This window comes from Homo sapiens, chromosome 12 (genome assembly GCF_000001405.40).
Source record: "Homo sapiens chromosome 12, GRCh38.p14 Primary Assembly".
NCBI classification, from domain to species: domain Eukaryota; kingdom Metazoa; phylum Chordata; class Mammalia; order Primates; family Hominidae; genus Homo; species Homo sapiens.
Window position 1 is genome coordinate 125,150,910 of NC_000012.12, and position 10,516 is coordinate 125,161,425.

The 10,516-nt window shown below is 47.1% G+C and overlaps 1 long non-coding RNA gene across 1 annotated transcript, besides 1 other annotated feature; it reads left to right on the forward strand.

Moving 5' to 3' along the window:
- The first annotated feature begins 428 nt into the window (after window positions 1-428).
- Window positions 429-10,110, forward strand: LOC105370053 (uncharacterized). The gene is made up of 3 exons (XR_945492.3): window positions 429-912; window positions 3,011-3,215; window positions 9,604-10,110. It is a non-coding gene; the product is annotated as an uncharacterized LOC105370053 (long non-coding RNA).
- Window positions 8,685-9,185: an enhancer, noted in NCBI's record as "H3K4me1 hESC enhancer chr12:125644140-125644640 (GRCh37/hg19 assembly coordinates)". NCBI's record gives its function as "activates a minimal SCP1, AML or CMV promoter by ChIP-STARR-seq in naive H9 embryonic stem cells {active_cell/tissue: H9 hESC(naive)}" and the evidence as "EXISTENCE:reporter gene assay evidence [ECO:0000049][PMID:30033119]".
- Window positions 10,111-10,516: the final 406 nt, after the last annotated feature.

The window sequence follows — 10,516 nt, forward strand, 5'->3', positions numbered from 1 at the left end:
TTGGGAGGCCGAGGCGGGCAGATCACCTGAGGTCAGGAGTTCGAGACCAGCCTGGCCAACATGGTGAAACCCCATCTCTACTAAAAATACAAAAATTAGCCGCGCGTGGTGGCAGGCTCCTGTAATCCCAGCTACTCGGGAGGCTGAGGCAGGAGAATCGCTTGAACTCAGGAGGCAGAGGTTGCAGTGAGCCAAGATTGTGCCATTGTACTCCAGCCTGGGTGACACAGTGAGACTCCATCTCCAAAAAAAAAAAAAAAAAAACAAAAACGAAAAAGAGAAAAAAGAATACTATGTATCTCACGGGGCTGTGATGCCAGTGAAATAACCATGTTGCCAATAAAATAGTGCTGGGCACATAGCAGGTGCTCAGTAAATGCTATCTCCTATTATTTTATAATCTCTCCGTCCTTCTTCCTTCTGCGTAGGCTTCAGTCTTTGTCTTTTTGCCGAAGTTCCAACAAAAGGCCCGAAGAGGAGTCCCATTGGCCTGGCCCAGGTCATGTGCCTATCTCTGAACCAATCATGGAGACCAGGGGAATGGGAGGTTCTGATCGGCGGCACCTGGATCATGTGACTGCCCTGCGGCAGGAGGAGAGGCCAGTCCAAACGGAGACACGTGACCTGAGGTTGGGGAATGGAGGTGCCTCAGGGGAGGATAAGGGCTCTGAGGCTGGAGGGGAGAGGATGAATCTCAGGCATGACAAGCACCTCCACCTAATAGCAGTCATGAGGCTTTTGTGAGGAGGCAGAATTCCAAGTGAGGAAGAAGTGCCGCGGCTGAGTTGTGAGTTTAGGTCACTGCCTCATTCGCTGCCTGACTATGGATGGCTTACCAGGGCTCCCCAAGCCCCGGGCCGTGGACCAGTACCAGTCCAGTGGCCTGCTGGGAACTGCTCCACACAGTGGGAGGTGAGTAGCAGGCAAGGGAGCGTTACCGCCTGACCTCTGCCTCCTGTCAGATCAGCCGTGGCATTCGAGTCTTTTAGGAGCGCAAACTCTATTTTGAACTGCAGGCGTGTCAGGGATCTAGGTTGTGCGCTCCTTATGAGAAGCTAATGCCTTTCATCCTGAAACAATCAGTTCTCCCCATGGAAAAATTGTCTTCCACGAAACAGGTCCCTGGTGCCAAAAAGGTTGGGGACCTTTGCCTCAGGCAATGAGGTCCCCAGTGATGGTGGATGCATGCAAATCGGTAAGACAGGCCTTGTTTCGGGCGGTCGGAGAATTGAAGAATTGCCTGGCTCTGGCCTGGAAGAGTTCCCAATCAGAATTCCAAAAAAAAAAAAAAAAAGTTCTTCTGGGTCTGCATGTTCACGGGTCATGAAGACAAATGAGGCTTATTTGCACAGAATGCAGATGAAAGAATTGGGTTTTGAGGATCAGTGAGATTTAAGTGGGAGGCCACCTTTTGAGGAGAAGCAACCCCTTCCAAGATAAATCCATCTTATACAATTGTTGTCCTCCTGAACTTTACAGTTACCTCAGGGGTTGTGGCAGTTAAAGAAAAACGGCTGCACAATTTTTGACACTTCTTTTGGTGAGGGGCATGTCTATATCCCCTCCCCACCAATCTAGGTGGGCTGGTGTCTGGTTTGTTCTATAAAGTATAGCGGAGGTGACGCTCAGTGACTTACGGGCTGGACCAGGAAAACCAGGTAGCTCTGCCTGGTTCTTTTGGGGATGCTCACTGGCAGGAGCCTGCTACCATTTAAGAAGTCTCATACCCGGGGCACCATGCTGGAAAAGCCACGTGGAGGTGCTGTGGCCAGAAGTCCCAGCAGAGCCCAGTCTTCCAGCCATCCCCACCAAGATACCAGGCATATGAATGGAGCCATCTTTCAGCCTCCAGATCGGCCATCTGCCAGCTGAATATCATTGAGTAACCTCAGTTGACACCTCGTGGAACAGAAGAATCACCCAGTCAAGCCCTGACTGAATTCCTGACCCATAGAATCTGTGAAATATAATAAGATCACTTCTGTTGTATGCTACTAAATTTTTGGATAGTTGTACAGCAGTAGTAACTGGAACAAGGGATTTGGTGATGTAAATACAAGAAGAAGGTCGAGTACAGCCACAGGGAAGCTGAGGACAGCAGGAGCCTGCTCTATCTAAAGGCCATGGATGTTAATGGGAGGCACAAGTGTGAGAGGACTGACCCTGGATCCAACAGTCTGGGTTCAAGTCCTGGCTCAGCCAGCTGGGTCATACTGCAAGTTTTTCGACCACTCAGGGCCTCACCTCTTCCATCTGTAAAATGGGACTAGCCATGAATGGCAAACTTAGCAACAGGGGACAGACGTCTCAACCCAATGGCCAAGGGTTCAAATCCAGCCCTCAGCTGTATCTTGCTTGCTTCTCACAATCACTGTTTATTTGGATCCAATGCCAATTTAGAAATTGGGAGATTTCACAGCTTCTCTTGGAATAAAAGGGAAGATCAGGCAAGGCTGGGCCCACATTCCTTGGGTCCCCGATTGCCAGGTCAAAGTGGCTAACATGGAATGACCACCAGCATGGCTGGGCCCTGTTCTAAGGGCTACATGTGCATTGATTCATCAGCCCTCAGACCGCCCTGCGGGGTCTGCATCATCGTCATCCCCAGGCTCTGCCAGAAGGGCCTCCCTGGGTCAATGATTAGATCCAGAGAGCAATGAGGCCACCTCAGTGGGCACCACAGTGGGGAGGTGATAGTGAGAACAGGTCCCCTCCATCTCCTGCTATGGCGAGACACACTCCTGCCCAAATTTAGGCACAACGCTGGGGAAAGAAGGGAAGTCTCACCCATGGCAGATTCACCTCGTATCCCTACGAGAGTGGGAGTTCATAACAGATTAACTTGGGCTACTAAAAAATAGTCATGTTTCTGCAAAGTCTACAGTGTGGGCGGAGCAGAGTGGAAACCACTCCTTGAGCAAACCCTCAGGTTCTCTTAGGCTGTCCTGAGACTCGTTAACTCACCCAAGTATACCGAAAGAAGATGCTTTTATGATCTCTGTTTTTACAGGATGGAAACTGAGGTGCAGAGAGTTTGACCCACCCAGCGTCAGCCAGCCAACAGTAGTGGATTGGGGACTGAAGCCCGGGCAGCCTGGCTGCAGACTCCTTGAGCAGTGTGCTGTGCCACCTGTCTACGTCAATGGCCCATTTCCTTGAAAAATATCTTGGGAGAGCAGAGACGGTGCCCTTCTATGGTCCATCAGAGGCTGCAGGTAGGATGGAAACCTTGAGTGGCCTGGGGCAGGAGTCCCTGGCCTGCAGGCAAGCAGTGCTGAAGGACTGCTGGTGGGAACTGGCACTTGAAAGAAGGCATTTGAAGAGGGAGGTGGTGGGCGCTCATGTCTCACCCAGGCTGGGGTGGAGGGAAATGCAGTTTTGGTAATGACTCCTGGGTCCCCTCTGTGCCTGTTGCTAAAGTTTTTTGTCAGCCTGGGCTGTCTGGTGGCTGAAGGATATGGCTCCTATTGTGTCGTCTGCCGATCTGTCCTTTTGCAACAGGGCCCGAGACCACTGGCTTCAGGGGCTGGAGTCACAATTGTGTGGGCTTTGGGCTGGGTTCTGCTGAGCCGTTAGGGCTTAGCCACTTGGTGCCAATAATAGCTAACATTGCTCAAGTACATACCATATGCTTGGCACTGTTCCGGGGCCACGATCCTGACTATAACCCTAGGAGGTAGGTGTCATCATTATCCCTATTTTGAAGATGGGGAATAAGGCTCAAGTTAAAGGAACTTGCCCAAGATCCCATGGGCTAGGGCCAGCCCTTTTGGAAAGAGCTCCCAAGAAGGATAGAGAACTCCCTCTTTTGATAACCCTGTTTCTCGTGGTCCTTTCTTTGGGTACTTCCTGAATATCTAGATTGATTAAAAGAAATCATACCCCAGTGAAGAAGATCAATTACATGTACGTTTTCCAAGCGCTTTGACGTCACAAACTCTCATATGCTTGAGCCTCTAATTAGATTTGGAGTGAGAATCATTTCATGTGTCATGAAATTTTAAAAGACAACGTTCCATGAATGGTACTTCCCATTATTCCAGCTTGATTGAAATTGTGTGTTTCTAAAAAGATGCTATTTATACTCTTAAGACAATGGAGCTTTCAAAAGGATTCTGACTCTTAAGTCTTCTTATGTGATTTCTAGGGAAGTGGAAATTTTCAAATTTTCTTAATGAATGTGTCTTTGTGGCTTTCCTTCTTTTCGTTCTTTCTTTCTTTAAATAACCTGACTTGACAGTGTTTCTCTCCCCCTTGATGGGAACCTCAGGTTCTTGCCAAAGTATGTATCACATAATTGCTTTCATGTTCAGACGCGGCAAGAGTGCGTTGTAAATGACCGTGACACAGATGTGACAATTCTATTAGGCCTGGGTTCTTACATGATTGACCTTGCAAATTGAATTCAGGGAAGGCAGCACTTCTGTCTGGCTGCTAGATTTCTTGTTCCCAGTTTGGGGAGAGGCCTGGGGAGGTGTGGGCTGGGATTTCCGTGCCCAGGCAGCCACCCAGGCTTGTCCTGTGCTGCATCCCTCCTTTCCATCTTGGCGTCTTCCTCAGCTCTCCAAACAGAAGGCAGCGGCCCATGATTGATGGGCTCCTGCCCGCTGGGGCATTATTAGCCACTCTGTCAAGGTGACAGTGTCATTTTTAATGTTCCATCTTCAGACTCGAGGTTTATTTTTAGGTAGAGAGTTAGCCAGCCTTGCCAGAGATAGAACCACTAAAAGTTTAGGGCATGGTTCTTGACCCTGGCTGCTGGGGAGCTTGCAACAATACCAGTTCTCATGAGGGTACCTTCTGGGGTGCAGGAAATGTTAGATGTCTTTATCCACGTGGTGGTTACTTGAGTTCATATATGTGTACCAAACAGCTGGGCTTTGGTGAGGGTGTGGAGAAACTGGAACCCTGGTGTCTTGCTGGTGGGAATGTAAATTGGGGCAGCTGCTGTGGAAACACGCTGGTGGTTCCTCAAAAAGTTAAACTTATAATTACCCAGTGAGCCAGGAATTGCACTTCTAGGTATATACCCAAAAGAACTGAAAGCCAGGACACAAACAGATGCTTGTATGCTAATGTTTGTAGCAGCGTTATTCACAATCACCAAAAGGCAGAGACAGCCCAAGCTTTTGTCACTGATGAATGATAAACAAAATGTGTTCTATCCCTGCAATAGAATATTGTAGAAGATAGAAGAACTTCATTCCTTTTTATGGCTGAATAATATTCTATTGTAGGGATAGAACACATTTTATTTCATAATATTATATGAAAAGGAATGAATATTATTTCATAATATTATGTGAAAAGGAATGAAGTTCTGACACTATAGTGTACATGAACTTTGAACACATTATCGTAAGTGACAGAACATCAGTCACAAAATGACAAATACTGTATGATTCCATTTCTATGAAGTACCTAGAATAGTCAAATTCATAGGGACAGAAAGTAGACCAGAGCTTATTCAGGGACGGGGAGGGAGAAGGAATGGGGAGAGCATGTTTAATGGGTACATAGTTTTTGTTTAGGATGATGAAAAGGTTCTAGAAATGGATGGTGGTGACTTTTGCGTAACACTGTGAATGTACTTAATGCCACTGAACCGTACACTTAAAAATGGGTAAAGTGGCAAGTTTTATGTTATGTATATTTTACTGTAATAAAAATATTTGAGATGTATAGTTAAAATTTTTGCTATGGACTATAAATGTATGTTATACCTGAATTGTAAAATACCGATTTCCAGGCCCTACTCCCAGGGATTCTGATTTTTTTTTATTTTTTAGGCAGAGCCTCACTTTGTCGCTCAGGCTGGAGTGCAGTGCTGCGATATTGGCTCACTGCAACCCTCTGCCTCCCAGGTTCAAGTGATTCTTATGCCTCAGTCTCCCGAGTAGCTGGGATTACAGGCACGCACCAACATGCCTGGCTAATTTTTGTGTTTTTAGTCAAGACGGGGTCTCACCATGTTGCCCAGGCTTGTCTCAGACTCCTGACTTCAGCTGATGATTTGAATAGTTTGGGGAAAAGTCTAGGCATCAGTATCTTTAAAAACTTACCATGAGGAATTTATAGTTGAGGAAAAGGGGCAAAACTTAGGCATGCAGACCCCTCAAGAATAAGAATTGTGGAATCAAGGCTAGGCCCTGTGTTCTATGAAGGCCAATGAGTTGTGAGTGGAAGGGACGTGTCATTTCTAGGCCACAGCACTTAATTGCTGATGTAAGAGTCTCCAAAGCTCTCTTTTCCCTTTGGTAATGTTTGACATGGGAGCTGCCCTGTCCACCTGGTCCTGAGTGATACAGGTTCTGACATTGGGCCTGGAATGATGAATGGGATTGAAGGATTACAGGAATTGAATGATCCTATGTAACCTCATAAGTGGGGCAACAGTATCAAGGAAACTCGTACATGGGGAAAGCTTTGTGAGTTTCTTGGCCTTTTCCTCATGGTCACAAGATGGCTGCTGCAGCCCCGGCACCACATCCTCACATACTTAAAGCAATGAGGCGGCCAGTGCAGTGAGAATTCTCTTTGAAGCCCATTCTTATTTTACCAGAGGAAAATTTATCCCCAGAAAGATCCTCAGCAGCCTTCTCCTCCATTTCATTGGCTAGAACTGTGTCTCTTGGCCACCACTAGCTCTAGGGGAAACTGGGAAGCAGGTATCTGTATTCCTTTCCTTTCCTTTTTGTGTTTTGACATAATTTCAAATTAAGAAAAGTTTCAATAATAACATAAACAGTTCTAGATATTCTTCACTCAAACTGCCAAAGTGTTGGCATCATGTGACGTTTGTTTAATCTTTTTCTCTCCCTACATACACACATGTGCATACATACACACGTATGTGTTTTTTTTTCTGAATGGTTTGAGTCAACTGCAGACACAATGTCCCTTTGTCCCTAAATACTCCATTGTGAATTCCTAAAAATGAGGATATTCTCTTACATAGCCATAGCACAATCATCAGGAAATTAACATGGAAACTTCTATTATCTAATCTACTAACCTTTTTCAGATCCTGCCCATTGTCTTAATAATGTCCTTTGGCCGGGCACGGTGGCTCACGCCTGTAATCCCAGCACTTTGGGAGGCCGAGGCGGGCGGATCACGAGGTCAGGAGATCGAGACCATCCTGGCTAACATGGTGAAACCCTGTCTTTACTAAAAATACAAAAAATTAGCAGGCGTGGTGGCGGGCGCCTGTAGTCCCAGCTACTCGGGAGGCTGAGGCAGGAGAATGGCGTGAACCCAGGAGGTGGAGCTTGCAGTGAGGCGAGACGGCGGCCCTGCACTGCAGCCTGGGCAACAGAGAGAGACTCCGTCTCAAAAAAAGAAAACAAAAAAAAGGTCCTTTATAGCAGAATAAAGGCCCAGATCACACAGTGCACTCTATTGAAACATCTCCTTATTCTCCGTGAATCAGAAGAACTTCCTGGGACTTTCTTTGCCTTCCATGACTTTGATGTTTTCGAGAGGACAGGCCAGTGACTTTGCAGCATGCTCTTCCCATTGGGTGGTCTGATGGCTCCTGATGTTTGGATTCAGTTATGAACTTTTGGCAGGACTGTGTGGAGGTGGTGCTGAGGCCTTCTTGGTAGGTCATATCAGAGGCCACACATCAGAGTCCCAATAATGGGACTAATGCTCATTAGTCCCATTATTGGGGATGTTAACTTTGGTTGCTTGGGTAAGGTGGGGCTTCCAGGCCTCGCCACTGTGAAGTTACTATTTAGGTATTGAATTTTTTACCTCGATTGTGGGAATGGCTGTTGGGTTGCCAGCTGCAGAGTCTGCTCTACTCTTGCTGATCTGAGTGTGGGACCTGTGGTTCCTCTATTATTGTTCATCTTGAGTGGCAGGGAAGAAGGTCTTCAGGAAGCAGCAGGTTCAATATTCTCTTTTTAGCTACACTTTCTAAGAACCTCCGGGTGTCAGTCTCCCAGACAAGGCCCCACAGAATATAGACAGTAATGGATAGCACTGTCTACCCTCAGTGAACTTCCTGCCCAACAGGAGGGAAGGAACAAGTATTTCTTGTTCACCTACTGCCTGCCAAGCGTCGCGTTAGCCACTCACATCCACCATCTCCTTCAAGTTAGTGTATCGGCTCTAGGAGTCCAGTGCTGTTACCTGGGTAATGATTTGCAGGGCTTTCTTCCTTTCAAACCAGAGGAACCATTCATAGCTTTCTCCAGTTCCTGGGTCTGCCTCACTTCACCTCACTTGAGTACAGCTTTTTTAAAAAAAGAATCTGAAAATTTTTTTTATATCAAGTGTTTCAAGGACCTAATTATGAACTTCATTATAAGTGTTCATTAGTTATACTTTGTTCAATTACTTCAACAAGTTGCCAAATGGAACACAAAGCTGGCAATTATCATTATGTAATTGTAATGAGACACTCAAACGGGGTTATAGAACGTTGTCTTTGCTGGCGTATTTTTCCTTCAGAGGAAGACAAACCAAAGGCAGCGGCTGGGCCTAGTTCTGCTCACTGACTCCTTCCAAGCTGTGCGGGGTGTAAAGAAGCCTCCTTTGATGTACAAAGGTCAAGTCTGGAAAAACGAAAACGTTTAAGTATGGTACTCAAAATGTTTTAGATGATGAGTATTATATCTCATAATATTATAAATATAAACATAAATATAAATATAAATATAAATTTACCGGACCTCGCTGTGATAGCTGCCGTCAGATTCATGTCAGGGGCTGAAGGCTTTTCTTCCCAGTTCTGCTTCCTCCACCTTTTATCTTTCACAGGAATCACCCCCAATATCCCTTGTCCTCCTGGCCTCCTCTCAGGGCCTGCTTTTCAGCAACCCAAGAACACTCCAGGGGCATTTTTCAAGAAGCTGGCCTTCTCAGAACCAAGGGTTCCAGCAAAACTCCCAGGCCTGACTCTCATTGGTGGAAATTAGGGTACCCAGCTTGTCCCAAACCCTCCCTGTGAATCTGATTGGCTAGGCTTGGGTCATGTGACCACTCATGGTCGGGAGCATCCCTTTTCAACAACATCCCTTTGTAGTTCACCAAAGGAGAGCTGCCTCCTCCTCTCAGCAGGGAAGGGAACGGCTGCTGTGCAGGCAGAAACTGTGGCTCCGCCTTGGCCCCCTTGGCAGGCTGTGAATGCAGAAGGCCTGGCTCTTAGCCAGCTTGTCACATCACCTTTTGGGACTCAGTGTCCGTGTCTAGAAAATGGGGGCACATGGCAAATGGATTCCTGCCCTGGTTCTTCATGGGGCCTTTGTGAGCAGCCTGGGAATAGCCTGCTGAGGCATGGCTCTGGGAGGGGACTCTGTCACAGCGCTCTTCCTGCTCTGGGTCTGACCAGGCTGGAGGAAGGACTTGCTAACTGTCCCAGCCATGGCCGTGTGTGTGTGTGTGTTGGGGGGTGGGTAGGGATGGGGATGGGGGGAGGTGAGAGGGAAAGGGGTTCACCTCCTTGCACTAGAACCTTCTGCCTTCCTCCAAAGGCCCCCGATTCAAGGCCAGCTTCCAATGAGGGAGGCGGAAACATGTGCTTCACAGAGGCTCCTCTGGAAACCATGGTGACAGCCCCAAATGTGATTTAGTGACACCCTTCTGTTGTCTTAGGTCACCCGCCAGAAATGCCAAGCTGAGGAAGGAGCAGGGGAAGCTGTTGAAGCAAATTGTGCATAATTAGGACTGTTGTCTCCTGCTATGGTCTGAAGATTCATATGTGGAAACCTAATCCCTACCTTGGGGATAGTAAGAGGTGGGGCCTTTGGGAGCTGACGAGGTCATGAGGGCCCCACTGTCATGATTGGGATTAGTGCCCTCATAAAGGAGGCCCAAGGGAGCTTGTTCACCCCTTCCAACAAGCGAAGATGATGCAAGAAGGGGCCACATGTGATGCAGAGGGTGGGCCCTCATGGAATCTGCTGGCACATTGACCTTGGACTGCCCAGCCTCCAGAACTGTGAGCGATAAATTTCTATTGCTTATAAACGACCCACTAAGGCATTTTGTTGTGGCGTCCTGAATAGACTAACACATCTCCCAAGGGAGAGTTCTTCCTTTAAACTTTTGTTTTTTTGGTTTTTTAAAAACAATATTTTAAAATTCAGTTTCTGTATAGTATTCCATTGTATGAATCTTGTGTAATTTATGCCCCTCCCTTATTAATGGACATTTGCGTTGTTCCTCATTCTTGTTCACCTTTGACACCTTAATAGGAGGGCCCCGCCTTCCTTTGCAAGGCTGGGCATGGTGGCTGGGAGAGAGGGAAGCACAGCCGTGGCTTTATCTGTCCCAGGAACTTTGTCCCAGGGTGCCCTGACACATCCCATCTCTCCTTGTCACGGGGTGTCCTCGACACTGTCTGTCTCTCTTACAGTCCTTGCTACTCAGTTTCTCTCCTTACAACTCTCTCTTGCTCACTCTCAATCTCTTTCGTTGTCTTTTTGTCTCTCTCTCCCCCTTTCCTCTGTTTCTCTTTCTCACTCTTCTCTGTCTCTCTCTGTCTATCTCTCTCTCCTCTTTGATT